General features: G+C 41.3%; 1 long non-coding RNA gene across 2 annotated transcripts in view; it reads right to left on the reverse strand.

The window, feature by feature from the left end:
* Positions 1-18,314, reverse strand: part of LOC105373737 (uncharacterized) — a 35,515-nt gene extending 17,201 nt beyond the window's left edge. The window contains exon 1 of one of the 2 annotated variants that reach the window (XR_923573.3): positions 18,186-18,314. This is a non-coding gene — a long non-coding RNA (uncharacterized LOC105373737). Of the gene's footprint in view, positions 1-14,768 lie in introns of both variants that reach the window. The other variant, XR_007087295.1, reaches the window with a different exon arrangement.
* Between the last annotated feature and the right edge of the window lie 1,877 nt (positions 18,315-20,191).

The raw sequence follows: 20,191 nt of genomic DNA on the forward strand, positions 1-20,191 counted from the left end.
TTAGCTTTTCAATAAAAGCTGTTTTCTAAACATAATCACAGACCTCCAAGATAAAGTGGAGCCTATATACAGTATTTATTGCAAAAAACTCTTAATAATTTCCTTTTGGATCAGGTATTTAGCTTGCTGAATTAGGCAATGAAGAGTAAACTAGTTAGAGAGCCAGCCTGTGGTTGCTTTTTTCTTTCTCTATGGCCTTGATGCTCTAGATGTGATCACTGAGTTATACCTGTTTATTCCAATAACAGAGGAGTAAAGAAGAGCTCTCTAAATTTTTCCTTGGTGCACTCCAAATTTATAGTTGTATCTCACCTCTCAGAATTTGGGTCCAAATTTGGGTGAAAAGTCAATGCTCAAGATCACACAACTAATAAGAAGTAGATCTGGGATTTGAACTTATGTCTATCTGGTGCCACACTTTTTTTTTTTTTTTTTGAGATGGAGTCTCACTCTGTCGCCCAGGCTGGAGTACAGTGGCACGATCTTGGCTCACTGCAACCTCTGCCTCCCGTGGTTAAGCGATTCTCCTGCCTCAGCCTCCTGGGTAGCTGGGACTACCACCAGGCGACATCATGCCCTGCTAATGTTTGTATTTTTAGTATAGATGGGGTTTCACCATGTTGGCCAGGATGGTCTCAAACTCCTGACCTCAGGTGATCCACCCCGCCTTGGCTTCACAAAGTGCTGGGATTACAAGCCTGAGCCACCACTCCCAGCCTGGCACCACACTTTACTGCTTAACCTATATCTTTTTTTTTTCTTTTTGAGATGGAGTCTTGCTCTGTCACCAGGCTGGAGTACAGTGGAGTGATCTCAGCTCACTGCAACCTCCACCTCCCAGGTTCCAGAGATTCTCCTGCCTCAGCCACCTGAGTAGCTGGGATTACAGGCGCCTGCCACCATGCCCAGCTGATTTTTGTATTTTTAGTAGAGACGGGGTTTCACCAAGTTGGCCAGGATGGTCTGGATCTCTTGACCTCGTGATCTGCCCACCTCCACCTTCCAAAGTGCTGGGATTACAGGCGTGAGCCACCGCACCCAGCTTAACCTACATCTTATGACACTTTCCAAATGAAAGAAGAAAAACTTCAAGAGGACCACTTTATCTATCAAAACCCAGTAGTGGGAGATAGAGAGGATCAGTTTATTTTCCACTTCTCACTCCTAAATCTCATCAGCACAAAACAAATAAAGATCTAGCATGGCATCAGTGCAAAGATCAGCTCCTGACTCTAAAACAGAGCACAGAGCAGAAGGAAACTGTTTGCTTCATAAAACCAAGAATGGGTTATAAGTGAGGCCCCAAGTGCACCATGAATTGGGCTAGAAATCTGAATCCCAGTGTCATTATTTCAGGGAAACAGAGCTTCTCAGATGAGCAACTACTCTGGGTGAATGCTTGGGAAGCAACTGGTAACCTGGTGCTCTGAGAGCCTTGGGGTTTGGCCAGCTCCTATAGCATGAATGGTCTGTGCTGTCAATTCCTATCTCTCTGTCATCTGTATCCCTGCCTATCTAGTAGTGATCTCTTTCACCTGTGTTGCTCCTGCTTAAAAACTAGAATGCCACAACCTCTTCAAAGCCTGCCCCTACCCTCTGGGGACAGTGAACCATTCTCTCCTCTACTGAGCTCACTGGCTCTGGGCATTTTCCTCCATGGCATTCCTTTTCGCTGTGGATTGATGCTTTCTGTCCTCTCACACCCCAATGAACACCTTGAGGTCAAAGCATACAACCCTTTTTAGAAAAAAATTCTTTTAGGATTGATGGAAATGCATTGAGATGATGGAGGTAAAATGATGGACAGTGCCTGGTGCACAATAGGTGCTCAATAACTGTTCTTCCACTTTATTGGTTCTCCCACTTAGTATTCCCAGCACTCAGTGTGATTCCTCAAAGGCCATGGTTACTAAACAGATTTTTCGTGACTAAATAAATAAGTAAATAAATGAACACATTCTACCTCCTGCCTCAAGGGCAGGTGTCATGTCTCCTGCTGAGCTCCAGGAATATCTCCTTATTTTCATTTATATCTCTGAAATATGTGTAACAACACTGGTCACATGGCTGGGTATAGTAAATAACTTAATTGATTTTCTTTTGTTGCAAAAGATGTTGGTAGATTGAAATTTTACCTCTAAGGCATCTATAGGAAAGATGTGTTCTCCTATCTGTTTCATTTTGAGTAGAGTGAGATTGCCAGGGGTCTTATATACACAGCTTTAGGTCTCTCTAAGAAAACTTTAGCTTAACCCACTTGCCAATTAGAGGGTTGTTTTCCTTTCTTGATTTCTTTCTAAACAGTCAATAACTAATACAAACTCTAGAAGAATAAGCTCTCCAAAAGTGAGGACCCTGGTGAAATCCAAACATTTACTGCTATGATCCTAAGTAAGGGCAGGGAAGTCTCATTTATTTCCATATCCCTAGTGCCAGCCTAGTATTTAATGCATAGTAGAGACTCAAAAAATATTTCTTTGATAAATGAAGTTGCTTTTAAGGCAGTAAAGAGAAGTAAATTTATTAAATCTGCAGTGTAATTTTGTGATTATCTATGGCTTTAGAGTCACACAGTACAGAGATGAAAAAATAATAATTTGCCTATCTGGATAGAATCGTACAATTGAAAAAAGTGTTTTATCATGTATCGTATAGTATTATTTACATACCATTCATTGAGCCTCTAGTGTATAATAGGTGCTTTAAATATCATTGTATCTAATCCTGACAATGCATCTTGAAATGTTATTATAATGTCCATTTTACAGGTGGAAAAAACAAGCTTAGAGGGGCTAAATGATTTGCCCAAGGCCACAAACTAGTATTGGTCCCCACATTAAAATGTGAGCTTCATGTAGGCAGCATCTGGCACCAAGAATAGCGCCTGGCATATAGTAGATGCTAAATAAAGATTTGTTGAAGAATGAACCAGATCTGGCTGACTCCAAAGCCGTCATTCTTTTCATGACGTTATTTGCTACTCTGTAAACTGTCTTTTGAAGTATCAGAGCAAGTAGCACACTTCTTTACATCCATGAGGACCTGAGGTCCAGGGAAATGAAGTTAATTTTTCTACATTGCACAAGAGTGGCTGGGCCAGGAGTGGAACTCAAGTTTTCTGATAGTATTATTTTCTTTTTTCTAGTCTGCAGGGAGACCATGAGGCAGAGATAGGTTGTGGGCCACTTCCTTTCCTCAGGAAAGTTCAGGGGTCTGGCCTGGGGAGGAACATTTCAGAAGGAGTTATATCCAAAACTTTCTACCTAGAAAAGTGATTCAATGCTGGAGGAAAGTTATTTCCCCTGATAGAAGGATGGACTACTGGGGGATACTTTCTTATTCACAACACCAGAATCTGATGTTTTGAGACAGGGCTAGTCCTGTGGTGAAGTCTAACCAGGCAGCTGAAACCTGATAGTGGCTACTTCATCACACAATTTTATTTCTCCTAATCATATCACTTAAAATGATCACAGGCCTTTAACTTTTTAAGGAAGAAATTGGTGTTAAATTATACATCTTAAAGTCATTATGGTTTTTTTGGCCAAATAAACCCTTTCTTCTGTTTTTTTCATTGCATTTTTAATATCAAAAAAATGGGGGCCGGGCGTGGTGGCTCATGCCTGTAATCCCAACACTCTGGGAGGCTGAGGCGGGTGGATCACCTGATGTCAGGAGTTCAAGACCAGCCTGGCCAACATGGTGAAACTCCATCTCTACTAAAAATATAAAAATTAGCTGGGCTTGGTGGCAGGCGCCTGTAATCTCAGCTCTTCAGGAGGCTGAGGCAGGAGAATCACCTAGGAGGTGGAGGTTGCAGTGAGCTGAGATCGCACCATTGCACTCCAGCCTGGGCAACAAGAGCAAAACTCCATCTCAAAAAAAAAAAAAAAAAAGAAAAAGAAAATGGCTATGAACATCCTACTGTTAGTAGTAGTTTGTAGCTATGGCAACTCATATATCTATTTGTTAAGTACCCAACTAGTTGTGTCTCTATGCTAGGTGTACAGTTAAATAAGTAAGTAAATATATACATAAATAAATAACTACAAATTTACAATATTCCATACAGCATTAAGGAGACCACATAAAATTGAACAAACATATACCAGGCCCAGAACCAAATTAACCTACTATCTGAGATCATGTGCAATGAAGTCATTATAGCTACACAGGACAAGAGACTAGACCATCTAAAAGTCATTTCTTCCTTGCTTTCAAGTTCTCCATCCTTCCTTTCTTTTTCCATTTGTTTGTTTTTAATCTTTGAGTATTTTGCCTGTTAATCTTTTCAAATCATCAAAGTCTGAGTGAAGATAAACCAGAGCCTTTTCTAGTTACACCCACCTCAGGAATCCCCAAACCTAAACTCCCAGCAATAGCTTGCAGAAAAGCCATACAAACCATTCCTGGTTGGGAAAGAAGTCATCCTCATCAGCAGCTCATATGCTGACAAAGCCCAGCAAAGATTACATGTGGCCATAATAACTGCATGGATATGCTTCTCACAGCTGACATGTCTCTGCCTTCCTGGATTCTCACACTGTGTCCAGTACATGCCCTGGCAAAACTCTCTCCAAAGACACCAGAGTACTGGAGCTAGGTTTTCCTTGTCTCTTGTTCCTCCCCTCATCTCCACACTTAATAACTCCACATTGCACAGTGGAACACTTGGCAAGGCAAGAAAGAAGTCAAGCCTGGATGCTAGGGGCAGCTCCTGTCATGAGAAGGATCCATGACTGTCTCTTGCCCTTTTCTCTCCTCCTCAGCACACTTCTGCTTTCCCCTAATTTTTCCATCTTATACATATTTTATTGTTTTCTAAATATAGACATCCTAAAATCTCCGTGGAAAGACATCTATTGAAACCAGAGTGATAGCAAGTAATGTGCCCAGCAGGCAAATCGCAAAACAAATAGAGGGTGCACTCAGCACTTTTTTCTTCTGCTGCACAAAAGAACCCAAATAAGGCTCCTGGAACCATGGGTTGAGTAATCAAGTCCTTTTCCTGGATGTACAACAGCACAGCTTTGGGAGATAACTAATTCAGCTCGTGTAATTGTACACCCGTCTAGAAGAGGAAAAGGAAGCACAAAAAGAGAGAAAAGGAGAACAGGCCAAACTTTTAATGGCTTGCCCTCCTTCTGCACCTGCCATGACTTGCAAGCAGAATATTGTGTCCCAGCTGGCCACTTGTCCTGAATCTGAGACCCCAAGATACCCATTGCCCTTGGAATTAAAGAATTATAAATGGAATTTTTGCACCTGCAAATTTAAAAAAGAAAAAAAGATAGTGAGAAAACTTGGAAAGGTCCCTTGAAACATTTCTATCACCCTTGTCAGGCTGTGTTTACTGCCCCTGGTGAATGCTAACCAGACACATGAGTAAGGACTCTTGAGGACCATTTAGCTGTTTTACTGAAATTAATTTTGGTTCCTACAGATTAACCATAAAGACATGCACTGGCTGCAGGTGTGCCAAAGCCAGCATTCGGAGAAAATCCAGCAAATTTTGTGGAGATAGTTAATGACTCCTGCAAAATTAATTTAAATTGAAATAGGATAAGAACATATGGAAAGAATCAATCACTCCTCATTTTGAATGAATGTTATTTTAGCATGCATAGACTTCTGATATAATTTTCCTCCTTTCCCTTAAGGGTCAAGAAGTACTCAAACACTAAGTCTTTTCGCAAAAGAGAAGATTTTTTTTTTTTCTCCAAGAAAGAGGAGAAACGTGTTTCATAAATCTTTTTACTTGTCTAATGCGGAAATTTACATCTGGGGCTCCATAGACACTGCTCAAAGCCCTCTCAGAAAACACAACTCTGCTCTTGGGGTAATTATGCTTTCCTAGTGTCTGGACAGTGGCTCTGGCTTCCATTTAGAATAAGATCTGGGCCCACTTGTTATGCATGTCCACATTAACTGGACAAGTCATAGAATTTAAATGTGATATGAGGCGAAAACACAGAGGCAATAGCAATAGAATAGGATTAGAAAAGTCTTTTTCAAGTGTTTGGAAGGCAATTACTATGTTAAAATCCCACAGCCACGTGTTCACACTCTTGTACCCCCATTCCATGTGCAAAGCCATCTCCAGAGTTCTCTCTCCAGGGGAGTGAAACAGCGGCAGGCACACCCATCGTAAGCGGGGGCTCCCCCAGCATTAGTGCCACCCATGACGTTTCTTCTCCAAGACCTTCTTCTAATCCCATTTATAGTTTATTTACCCAAGTTATTTACACTTTGTTCCAGAAAATAGTTAAGACAACATTAATAATATAAATCCTCATCCACATCAATCACAGATATCAACTGTCTAGTCTTTACTTATTCTTCATTCAACAAATATAGATTATGGTTTTGTGCCGTATCAGGTATTATTTTAGGCACAGGGCAGGAGAGAATATAAAGAAGAAGAAAAACTAGTCCCCTTATTCTTGAGGACGATATAATTTAGGGGTCAAATGGATGCATAAACTTCTAAATAAAAACATAGCAACATTGTTCATGCAAAAATCATCTACTAATATTTTTCTCTCTTTTCACTTTGCATTTATTTTCACATATATTTATTGAAAACCTATTATGTGTCAGGCAGTATGCTAAGAATTGGGGATATAACTCTGGATACAAAAATCCAAAGAAGAATTTCAAAACAACATTCCACAATTCCAGGGACAGCAGGAAAGAAGTCACAAGACATCTATTTGTAATGTTTGTGCCAATGGAGATGGAGCAGAGAACTGAGAAATTTTTTTTAAAAAGTCATTTCTATGTGGGTTGGGAAGAAATCCTAAATTTTGTGGAAAGCAAGGAAATAGGGAGTGGTAAGGAACTAATGACTGCCTAGTTCAGCTTTCCTTAGGCTAATGTTACAATTAATCCCTGTTCCCTGAGCATTCATCATTCTGGGGAGTGGGGGGCAGATGGTGGAGGATTAAATCCAGATTCCAGCAGTTGGGGGGCCAAGCATTAATTGTATAAAATTCACAAAAGAGGTCACCTGGAATTGGCTGTATAAATAATTAAAAAGTAGGGAAAAAGGGGAACATGAGATAGCCAGAAAAGAAAGTCTTTGAGAGAAAAGGAAAGCTGGAGGAAGATACAATAAAAGACAAAATGAGACAGTAACAGGTCAAAAGGGTAGTATCTTTCCTCTGGTCCTGCTGACTAGAATCCTGGTTCAAATCCTTGGCCAACTAATTGGTGTAATCATTAGTTTATGTGCTCCATCTGCCTAGCATCCCTAGAGGACTGTGACCGTGTTCTGGTCATCCGTGTCTCCAAATCTCAGCACAGTGTCTGGCCCAGAGTTGGCCTTCAGTAAGTGCTGCTTAAATAGATTTTTTTTAAAAAAAGTGAATCATGTGAAAGAGAAGATAGAAATAAGTTAAACACACACGTATGAGGAGCTCTTCAAAAAAATTCATGGAAAATGTGTATTATCAAAAAACTATGCAGAGAATTCAAAATGTTTGCACTAAAATAAACTCATACTAATTTGTTATGGCATGTCTGAACAGGATCTAGTTTGGGGCACTAAGAAGGATAAGACATCAGTCTGAGAAGAGCCCCCATCAGAGCAACATGAATTCTGCTATTAATAAAATTGAAGCAAGAACTAATGTTAAGGCTGGGCACAGTGGCTCACATATGTAAACCCAGCACTTTGGGAGGCTGAGGTGGGCGGATCACCTGAGGTCAGGAGATCCAGACCAGCCTGGCCAACATGGCGAAACCCCGTCTCTACTAAAAATACAAAAATTAGTAGGACATGGTGGCACACACCTGTAATCCCAGGTACTCGGGAGGCTGAGGCAGGAGAATTGCTTGAACCCAGGAGGTGGAGGTCACAGTGTGCTGAGATAGCGCTACTGTGCTCCTGCTTGGGACAGAGCAAGACTCTGTCTAAAAAAAAAAAAACAAAAAAAAAACCAACATCAAATTTATGGTTTGTGTAGAAAAATAGTGAAATCATTGATGCTTTACAAAAAGTTTATGGAAACAATGTCCCAAAGAGATCAGTAGGGGTCTTTCTATGTTGCCCAAGCTGGTCTTGAACTCCTGGACACAAGCAATACTTCTGCCCCGGCCTCCCAAAGTGCTGGGATTACAGGGTGAGCCACCGTGCCCAGCCCTGAAATTCTTTCTGTTTCATAATCTTAAAAAGTCTTTAGCTGAGCCTGGTGTCTTACACCTGTAATTCCAACACTTTGGGATGCTGAGGGGGAAGGATTGCTTAAGGCCAGGAGTTCGAGACCAGCCTGAGCAACATAGTGAGACCTCATTTCTACTACAAATTTAACAAATTAGCTGGGTGTGGCAGCATGCACCTGTACTCCTAACTACTTGAGAGGCTGAGGCAGGAGGACTGCTTGAGCCCAGAAGTTCAAGGTTGCAGTAAGCTATGATCTCACCACTGCACTCCAGCCTGGCAACAGAGTAAGACCCTGCTTCTAAAAATAAAAATTAAAAATATCCTTTACAGTGCATCCATTTTTCTTCAGTTGACAATGCAAAAAAGATTGCCCTGGCCGAGTGCAGTGGTTCACGCCTGTAATCCCAGCACTTTGGGAGGCTGAGGCAGGTGGATCACTTGAGGCCAGGAGTTCAAGACCAGCCTGGTCAACATGGTAAACCCTGTCTCTACTAAAAATACAAAAAAAAAAAAAAAAAAAAAAATTAGCCAGGCATGGTGGTGCACACCGGTAATCCCAGCTACTTGGGAGGCTGAGGCAGAAGAACTGCTTAAACACGTGAGGTGGAGGTTGGAGTGAGCGGAGACCATGCCACTGCACTCCAGCCTGGGTGACAGAGTGAGACTCCATTTCAAAAGAAAAAAAAAAAAGACTGCCTTGACGTGGTTACATTCCCAGGACCCTACGTTCTTTAGGAAAAGACTAAATGGCTGGTATCATTGTTTACAAAAGTGTCTTCGGCTTGATGAAGCTTATGTTGAAAAATAAAGCTTATATTTTTCATTTTTATCTTTTAATTTAATAATCTTCCATGAACTTTTTGAAGTCCCTTCTATTCTGTACACAGGAGGCTTCAGTTACATCCCCTAAGTTTTGGTATGTTGTGTCTTCATTTTTCCTCTTTTCAAAGTACTTTTTGCCTCTCAAATTATTTTCTAATTTCTCTTTTGATTTCTTCTTTGTTCTTTGACCCATGGGTTATTTAGGAGTATATTGTTTAATTTCCACACATTGTGTTTCCCAGCATTTCCACAGGGAAATGACAATGTTAAACTGGGAGGCCCAAGAAGAACACCATTTGGAGAGGACAGGACTAGATTAGAATGAGCAAAAGGTTTCCTGGTGACCTCTGCTAATACACCTCATCTACATATACCCACCCTCCAGCTCTCCACCCAGAGAACACAGACGTGCTCAGCAGATACTTTTTTTTTTTTTTGAGATGGAGTCTTACTCTGTTGGCTGGAGTGCAGTGGCATGATCTCAGCTCACTGCAACCTCCACCTCCCAAGCAATTCTCCTGCCTCAGCCTCCCAAGTAGCTGGGGCTACAGGTGTGCACCACCAAGCCTGACTAATTTTTTTGTATTTTTAGTAGAGAGGGGGTTTCACCATGTTGGCCAGGCTGGTCTTGAACTCCTGACCTCAGGTGATCCACCTGCCTTGCCCTCCCAAAGTGCTGGGATTATAGGCATGAGCCACTGCATCTGGCCCAGCAAATACATATTCTTCCAACTCATGGATGAGAAATCGATGTCCACGCATGGTCTGACACAAGGTACCATGTAGCGTGTAGGAGAATTGGAATTCCAGGCAGGTGATAGGGCAAGATGGTTAGGAGGATAGGTTCAAATCTTCATTCTGCCATTTTTGGGCTGGGTGATCTTTGGAAAGGTACTTAATTTCTCTAGGTCTCAACTCATTTGTAAATTGGGATAATAGTACCTACCTCATAAGATTATTGTAATAGTAAAAATAATTCACATAACCCAGCACCGTGGGAAGCTTTCAAAAAATGTTAGCCTGGTCAGGCACAGCGGCTCACACCTGTAATCCCAGCACTTTGAGAGACCAAGGTGGGCAGATCACAAGGTCAGGAGTTCAAGACCAGCCTGGCCAACATAATGAAACCCCATCTCTACTAAAAATACAAAAAATTAGCCAGGCGTGGTGGTGGGTGCCTGTAATCCCAGCTACTCAGGAGGCTGAGGCAGGAGAATGGCTTGAACCTGGGAGGCGGAGGTTGCAGTGAGTGGAGATCACACCACTGCACTCCAGCCTGGGCGACAGAGCGAGATTCCATCTCAAAAAAAAAAAAAAAAAAAGAAAAGAAAAAAAAAATCCGGTGTTTTTGTTAGCACTTCGTGACCTGGAGCTGGAAGCCTTTAATATTAACATGCTGCTGTACTCTTGGGCCCCCACTGATTCCTGGGTTTGAATCCTGGCTCTCTCATATAATAGCTTAGGAGACCTTGACCAGGCCACTTACCCTCTCTGCATCTCGGTGTCCTTGTCTTTCAAAGGGGCCCTCACAAGGTGATTGTGAGTAGATGAATGAATATGGGTAAAGCTCAAATAGTCCCTGACCCATGCTAAGTAGAGACCCCATCCCTACACTGATGAAATTTAAATTCTTGCTAGGGAAACAGGCGAAAACCAATAAAGAGGTAATTATGTAAAACAGTTACCAATTGTGATAAGTGCTATGAAGGCTGAAATAAGGCTTAAAGAGAGAATGGGGAGGGGAACCTACTTAAGTGATTAGGTGGTCAGGGAAGCCTTTCCCAAGGAGGAAACATTTCAGCTAAAAGCTAAAGGATAAAAAGGATAAATAGAACTAAGGAACATCTTAATCTCAGCCTTACCAAGAGCTGAAGGAAATATCTTCAAGGCATAGGGAACATCAAATGCAAATAGCCAGAAATGCATTTCAGATTGAATTCCTACAGTATCCGCTATTGTAGAATTCCTTAACATGAATGTATCATTTTTACATAAACATGATAGCAAGTGAGATACATGATGAGACATGAACACGTGTCAAATACACATTCCTGAACATTGCTCAGCATTTAATTGACCTGTGCCCATGTGTTACAATGGTATACAAATGTGTGCAATTTTATATAAACGGACACGTGTAGACCTGAATTTTTCTAAAAGACTAATGCAGACCTAAAAATTAATTAGTGACACGTTTAAGATATTCAATTAATGGATAAGCAGAGACTGACTAGAAAAATTAAAAGAATAAAAAATGATGTTCAAATAAAAGCACAAAAGAGACAGGAGGAACTCTTGTTTTTAGGCTTGCACAAAAATTCACCTGGCAGCACAAGTTGACGTGTGACCTGTTTCCCATATGTTAAAAATTTTGATATATAACACGTTTGGATGTGCATGTTCCTGTGCTTTAGGGAAGTTCTTTTTTTTTTTTTTTTTTTTTTTGAGATGGAGTCTTCTTCTGTTGCCCAAGCTGGAACGCAGTGCTGCAATCTCAGCTCACTGCAACCTCTGCCTCCCAGGTTCAAGCAATTCTCCTGCCTCAGCCTCCCGAATAGCTGGGACTACAGGCATGTGCCACCATGCCCAGCTAATTTTTATATTTTAAGTAGAGATGGTGTTTCACCATGTTGGCCAGGTTGGTCTCAAACTCCTGACCTCAAGTGATCCATCTGCCTTGGCCTCCTAAAGTGCTGGGATTACAGATGTGAGCCACCGCGCCCATCCTCAAGGACAGTATTTTAATAGTTAGAAATATACATATTTAGAACAAGAAAGAAATGTCTGTGGAACCCCTAACATAATTTCACTAAACTCTTCAGTGTCACAGAACAGTTTGAAAAGCACTACTGCAAAATAATTCCAGATGGGAAAAAGTTAATTTTCCACCGTCCTCCATTCTCTCCTTAGTGACTAGTTTCGTTTCATTCATTCACTGAACAAATGTACTGAGCTCTGTGCTCATTACTCTTTATCCCATGCTCTCCTCCTGCCCTCACCTATTCTCCATTCTTCTCTGCCCAGGGTGGTGGGAGCGGTCCCCTAAGGGCTGCATCATCCAGGATCTCTGCCTTCCAGCTTCTGATTCCCTACAGCCAGTGGGAGCAAGGCATGGTTCTGGCAGTGACGGGAACTGGAGCTCCTGCTGGGTGCTCCTCTTAGGCACCTCCAGTGCTCACCAGCTCTAGTAACGGCTTTTCCTCTCCTTTGTAGGCTAACTGCTCCCCTCTTTTGCTAGTCTTTTGGTGCTTCAGCATCCTTTGTGGGTTTCCTTAACCTTGCCCACACTTCTGTAAACTGCCCCTTCATTAACATCTCTTCAAAATCCAAAATGAATGTATTTTCTTTTGCCTGCTAAGACCCTGACTCAAGCCTCTACTATGTTCTAGACCATCCCTGCCCAATAAAAGGATAACAGGAGCCATATATATACTTTTAAATTTTCTAGTAGCCATGAAAGACAGTAAAAAGATGCAGATAAAATTAATTTTAATAATATATCCTATTTAACACAATACATCCCAAACATTATCATTGTAACATGTAATCATTATAAAAATTTATTAGTGAGATAGTTTACATTCTCTCTCTCCCTTTTTTTTTTTTTTTTTTTTTTGAGACAGTCTCTGTCTGTCACCCAGGCTGGAGTGCAGTGGCGAGATCTCGGCTCACTGCAACCTCCGTCTCCTGAGTTCAAGTGGTTCTCCTGCCTCAGCCTCCTGAGTAGCTGGGATTACAGGTACCTGCCATCACAACTAGCTAATTTTTGTATTTTCAGTAGAGACGGGGTTTCCCCATGTTGGCTAGCATGGTCTCGAACTCCTGACCTCAGGTGATCTACCCGCCTCGGCCTCCCAAAGTGCTGGGATTATAGGCCTGAGGCAGCACGCCCGGCTGTCTCTCTCTTTTTTTTTTCGTTGAGACAGAGTCTCACTCTGTTGCCCAGGCTGGAGTGCAGTGGTGTGATCTCGGCCCACTGCAACCTCTGCATCTCAGGTTCAAGTGACTCTTGAGCCTCAGCCTCCCAAGTAACTGGGATTACAGGCATGCACCACTATGCCTGGCCAATTTTTTGTAGTTTTAGTAGACAGGGTTTTGCCATGTTGGCCAGGCTGGTCTTGAACTCCTGGCCTCAAGTGATCTGCCTGCCTCAGCCTCCCAAAATGCTGGGATTACAGGTATGAGCCACTGTACCCAGCCTACATTCTCTTATTCATACTAGGTTGACAAAACCTGATGTGTATTTTACACTCACAACAATCTCAGTTGGAATTTATCACATTTCAACTGCTCAATACCCACATGTAGCTGGCAGCTACCATACGGCACAATATAGTTCTGGATACTGATTTAGGGCTGGAGATAGATGCAAAATACAGTCCCTAACATCTTAGAGTTGATGGTCCAGTAAGAAAGATGGACACACAAACCATTAGAAAATAATGCAGCAAATGCATAATTAATGCTGTGTACAAGATGCTGTGGGAATAGAGCTCTTTCCATCAATGGGGTTTACAGAGAGATAATAGATATTAACATTTGAGCAGATCCTGAATGATCAAGGATTCTGCCAAGAAAACAAGAGGGTGGAGAGGACAATGCAGGCAGACAGACATAATCTTCACCTTTCCATCTACCCTCGCTGTATCAGCTGTTCTCTGACTATGCTCCTGAGACAGGCACCCTGCACACCAAGGGTGCACTTGGATCTCGCTAGTTACTGTGGTCCAGGTTTGGATGGACCTCTGCAGTCTTAGCACAGGCTCGAGGAGTATAAGTTTTCAAAGGAAACACAACTAGGAAATAAGGGTGAGATATGAATGCGGGGAGAATGCCTATAAACAGACATACTGAGAGAGCCTGGAGCCATTTTCCTAAGGTAATGGAACTCTGGCCACTGACAGGCTTCAGTGGCTCAGGTTCCTGGGCACAAAGCCTAACCTTATTTTCCTCATCTAATCTGTCTCCTTTGCTATTCAGAAAGCATTGTCACTGGCCAGGTATTAAAGCTCATTGTTTCTAACCTTTGGCAACATTTTGGTTGTTATTGTTTTTCATCTTTTCCCCTTATATGAGCCCATTTCTCTAGTAGTCCCAAGGATTTGAGGACCAGCACTGACCTCCCTCTAGATTGTCTCTCTCACATGAAAATCCTACTATTTTTAGTCAAATATAGCTCTCTTTTCCCGTTTCAAAACTCAGACGCCCTATAGAATAGCTCAAAAAGTTCTTATTTTGGCCAGGCATGGTGGCTCATGCCTATAATGCCAGCACTTGGGGAGGACAAGGTGGGAGGATGGCTTGAGGACAGGACTTTGAGAGCAGCCTGGGCCACATAAGGAGACCCTGTCTCTACAAAAAATTTAAAAAGTAGCCAGACGTGGTGGTATGCACCTGTAGTCCCAGCTGCTTGGGAGGTTAAAGTGGAAGGATTGCCTGAGCCCAGGAGGTTGAGGCTGCAGTGAGCCATGATCATGCCACTGCACTTTACCCTGGGTGACGGAGCAAGACCCTCTCTCAGAACAAACAAACAAACAAACAAAAAAGAAGTTATTTTTGTCTCAGAGGCAATGTTTGTTCTCTACTCTCTGAAGGGAGGTTATAACTTAAGTGACCCAAGGCCAAGGAATGGTCACGTATTTTCCGCTCTAACTTACCTTCTCAGCATACTTTGTTAGATATTTTTGGAAGATTCACCTCACTCTCTTAAATCCTCCAAACCTCAGTTTTCTAACATAAAAGTACATCACACACATGAGAGCAACAAAATAGAGCTGCTCACCTTTCAAGCCTAGGGCCTCCTGTGAGGTTCTCTGATCCACTTTGGGAAGCCATCAAGTTCCCTGCAGACCTCTTTGCGTAACTCCATGATACTTAATAGCTGGTGAGGATTTTTAAGGATACCCAAGCAGTAATGGGAGAGGAAAGGAGGATAACTATTCTTAGATACTAAAAAAGAAGTATGCACTTAACTCAGACAAACATTCTGGCGCCTTTCTGTATGAGCAGAATCCTGATTTCCAGGAGGTTGGAGAGCCATGGCTAACTGTTTACATCCTTGGTCCGCAGCAGTCAGATGGTATACACTGTAGCCTTATTTTCCTTGTCTCCTTCTTAAATCAACCATAAATCATGTTCAATGCCAAGCTTTCTGCAAAAATTCCCTGTGGTTTCTTTTAGTCTCTCACTCCAACTATCACATTGTGATTCCCATTGGCAATAATGTCGGCATCTGTTCTCCATACCAGCACTATTTGCAAATACTTTGAGACCGTGCCCTTGATTACTACTCAAAAGTTCAACTTCTGTTTTCTCAGAGCTAAAACACATACTGTATTATCCAGTTTAAATAGTTTCCAATCCTCATCTGGGCAGCAGGCTTCATCAGCTCCTCCCATTACTCATATTGTTTTTTTTTTAATGCTTTTAATTCTTTTCTTTCAATTGACTCATGTAGAGATGATTAACTTTGGTCTTGAACATTGCTAACCTTCCCACTCTGAGCTGTGCTTCATTCCCTCCTTAAGGATCTCTTCCATCCATGATGTCGTGGATTCTAAGAGGTTCTTTTACTCCCCAAAGCAGTTTATTAATACCACCTTTTTGTTTTTCTTCTCCATGGTCTAAATTAGATCTCAGAAAATAAATAAATAAATAAATAAATAAATAAATAAATAAATAAATAGGATCTCAGTATGCTAGGAATTAGGCAACAATTATATATAAAGAATCAGTTACGGCCAGGCGCGGTGGCTCATGCCTGTAATCCTGGCACTTTGGGAGGCCGAGGCGAACGGATCATGAGGTCAGAAAATCGAGACCATCCTGGCCAACAAGGTGAAACCCTATCTCTACTAAAATACAAAAAATTAGCTGGGCGTGGTGGTGCATGCCTGTAGTCCCAGCTACTCAGGAGGCTGAGGCAGGGGAATCGCTTGAACCCGGGAGGCAGCGGTTGCAGTGAGCCGAGATCGCGCCACTGTACTCCAGCCTGGCGACAAAACAAGACTCAGTCTCAACAACAACAACAAAATCAATTATTCTTAAAGAGAAATAATTTATATGGTTTACAATTTCTTTTATCTCTCTGGCTTAAAACATTTGTTTGTAATGTGCATGTGTGTATGTGCATGGTTTGGGTTTGGTTTTGGTTTTGTGAGTGTGTGTATGTATGTGGTTTGATTTTGCTTGTTTGTTATTTTTCTAAACGATTTGGTTGAACAGTTATTCAACAGAGATGACTGCACCATTCTGAGCACTGTCAGGCAGTCAGCATTTTTATGAGCTGCCCCTTTGGCATAGACTCTGTGTTTCTGGACTTGTGAGAAAATACATACTCGTACACTCATATGTGCATGTCTGAACATACACGCAAAACCAATACAGAAATTAAAACAACAGAGAAAGACACTTAGCCAAACCCAGCAGACCAAATGATTACATCTATGTTATATAAAGATTTGCCTTATAAGTTAATCAAAGATATTATGCATTTATACAAAGACCAGAGGAAATCATAAATTGTAATGAAAATCAGGAATGTTCTAATACAATTAGTACTTTTTTTAAAAGGTTCTCCATATATCAAGTACTATTGTATACACTTTACATTGAGAAATCCATACAACATCTCTGAGATAGAAATTATTATTATCCTGCTTATAGATGAGAAAACCAAGCCCCAGAGAGGTTAAGTGACTCACCTATGGTTTCACAGTCAGATAAATGGAAAAGGGCACAACCAGACAATTCACATAAGATAAAATGCAATCTCAAATGAAAAAATGTTCAAGATTGCCAGTAATCAAATAAATGTAAATTAAAACATTAAGTAATTTCATACCGCACCTTTGGGGAGGCTTAAACTATCACTCTCAGATATGGTGGCAACAATGTAAATCAGTGTAAGCTTTCAGGAAAGCCATTTGCTGATACTTATAAACAATGGTAAAGAGGTTCCCTTTAATTCAGTAATTACACTCCTAGAAATTTATTCTTAGAAAGTTATTCAAAAGAAAGAGCCATATGAATAAAAAATTTGCTGTAGCTTCTTTATGGTATCAAACATTGAAAGCAGTCTAAAGTTCCAAATATAGGGACTTTTAAAGTAAACTATGATACATCAATGAAATGGAGTACCATGTAGCCATTTAAACTATAATTATCAGTGATAATGATAATATTAAAGTTACATAATGTTAAGTGAAGTAGGCCAAATATAACATTTTACCTATTTTATGATTGGAACTATGTAAAATTATGTATACATATGTTCAAGGACCAGAATGGAACATAAAATGAAAATGCCTGAGACGTCAGATGGCATAATTTTAAGTCCATTTCTTTCCTATTTTTAATTACCTTTATTTTTGTTGTTTTCCATATGATGGCAAAATCGGGAGTTAGGAAAAAATAGAAGATACCGTTTCTACCTTTTGGTGATACAGAATGTAGCTGAGCATTCATAGAATCATTGACTTTTAGAGCTGGAAGGGGCTTTATCAGACTCTTGGTGCAACTTCCTAATTTTACAGATAAATACTCTGAGGCAGAAAAAGACTGACTTGCTCAATCACACATATTTAATTAGGAGCCAGAATTTTCAACTCCAAAAGTGACCCACAATCATTTAGGGTACATTTCTTGCAGAGAAATTAAGTTGTTAGGACCCTATCTTGAAGCAGATTATGTTAATAAAAATAACTATTTTAGCCTAATTCTACTTTTTAAAATCTGCATTATCAACTGCCTCCTTTCCCCACCTGAAATTTGCTTTATGCCAAAGCAAAAGCACTAATTCTTGACTACATGGCACACACCATGCATATTCTTGGCATTTCAAAAAATGTCAAAATATTTATAAAGAAGACGAGTATTTCAAATAACAATGGAAAACGTGGTAGTCATTTTCCGGTGATGGAAACAGCAGGAATTCAATTATGATTTAATAAATTAATTACATTGAATTTCACTTTCATACATTAAAAAATGTTTTCTAACATTGACTAAAAAATCTGCTTTAAATCTGCTAAAAATTAGTTTCTGGGATGAAAATGAAGAATATGAGTAAATATGTAAATGTTTACATAGCCTTACAGGGAGACCCTCATCTACTCACCTGTGATCACAAACAGCAAAGCATGTCCTCAGGAGACGTGCGACCCAGCTGGCAGGGGAGACTCATTAATCTTAAACCTACCTTTGATGATAATAGCTTCTGCCTGGGCTCTCTGAAAGACCAGAGGAAAATGGAGGTCAGGTGCAGTGGCTCACGCCTGTAATTCCAGCACTTTGGGAGGCCAAGGACGGCAGATCACTTGAGTCCAGGAGTTCGAGGACAGCCGGGCCAACATCGTGAAACCCCGTCTCTACTAAAAATACAAAAAAAAAAAAAATTTAGCCAGTCGTGGTGGCCTATGCCTGTAATCCCAGTTAGGAGGCTGAGGCAGGAGAATAGCTTGAACCTGGGAGGTGGAGGTTGCAGTGAGCTGAGATTGCACCACTGCACTTCAGCCTGGGCGACACAGCAAGACTGTCTCAAAAAAAAAACCAAAAAAACCAAAAAAAAAGCAAAAACATGGGAAGATGCTAAAGAAAATTTAGAAGTCACAGATTGATGGGGCTACCAAAGTTGTTTTGGTTGTTGGGGCTGCTATGTCACGGCCACAAGGTTGATTTGCAGGGAGTATGTAAAAGCATCATGTGCTCACTTCAGGGCACTGTGAGTCTCTACGGGCATCAACCGAACATCGCACCAGCAACCAAGGTGGTGGTGATGGCCGATCCCAACAGTGCTCTGCAGCTGGGGCTTCAGCAGCAGCAGGAAGCAGCACCAGCTCTGGGCACTGGGACAGGAGCATGACCCTCTCACGAGACTTGGTTGGAAGCCCTGGACACTATTTAATAGAGGTTAAGAGCTGTTGAGACACATACCCTAGGGACTAAGGAAATAGAAAACAAGAGAAATATAAAGAATCAGAGAGGAAGATTTTAGGGGAGAAATTGCTTCTACATACAATCTGTAATTTCACATTAATAGTCATATATTAAGGTTAAGACCTACTCAAATTTAATAATCTGACTCTGTTTTTTACAACTGTAAACGAGCTCACTATCCATGGTATTCTCCATGATATTTTTCTCTTAGTCATAACTCAGTGGTTCTCAAGCCTGGCTAACCATCAAAATCTCCTAGAGAATAAAAAACATCATCTGTACAGAGGAAACAAACAAACAAAAACAGACACAAAAAATGCAAAAACATAACACACACCAATGCCTAGGCCTCCCATAGATAGATGAAATCAGAATCTGGTGGTGGATCACAGGAATCAGTAGGTTTGCTTATTGCTTTTAGAGAGAGACAGGGTCTCACTCTGTTGCCTAGGATGCAGTGCAGCAGAGCAATCATGGCTCACTGCAGCCTTGAACTCCCGGGCTCCAACAATCTTCCCACCTCAGCCTCCCAAATAGCTGGGACTACAGGCGCATGCCACCATGCTGGACTTATTTTTTTGCCTGGGGGTGGTGGGGGGTTGGGGGTGTGTGTAGAGATGGAATCTTGCTATGTTGCCCAGGCTGGTCTCAAACTCCTGGTCTTAAGCAATTCTCCTCCTCCCAAAGTGCTGGGATTATAGGCATGAGCCACTGTGCCAAGCCAAATCAGTATGTGTTAAAAGCTTCTCAGGTTCTTCCAATAAACAATGAGGGTAGAGACCCATTGTTCCAACAAGAGCAGTTAGAATCTTTCTGGAACGGTTCTAATTTTAATGTAATACAGATCACCTGGGGATCTTATTAAGCTGCAGATCTTGATTTGCTAGGCCTGAGTTGGAGATTGCGAGGTCGAATTGCTAACAGCCTCTCCTGGTGATGTTAACGCTAATAGTCTGCAAACCACCTTATAAAAAGGATCTAGGAAAATTAAGACAGGTGGTTAATTCCAGAGTAGAGGGGCCAGAGACAAGTAACTAACAACAACAACAAAAAACTTTTTTTTAACCTTAACAAAAGGGTAAAAACAAAAGTATATAGGACCTCTTTTATTTTATTTTATATTTTTTTTGAGACTGAGTCTTGTTCTGTCACCCAGGCTGGAGTGCAGTGGTGCAGTCTTGGCTCGCTGCCTCCCAGGTTCAAGCAATTCTCCTGCCTCAGCCTCCCAAGTAGCTGAGATTACAGGCGCCTGCCACCACACCCAGCTAA

This window comes from Homo sapiens, chromosome 2, assembly GCF_000001405.40.
Source record: "Homo sapiens chromosome 2, GRCh38.p14 Primary Assembly".
NCBI lineage: Eukaryota > Metazoa > Chordata > Mammalia > Primates > Hominidae > Homo > Homo sapiens.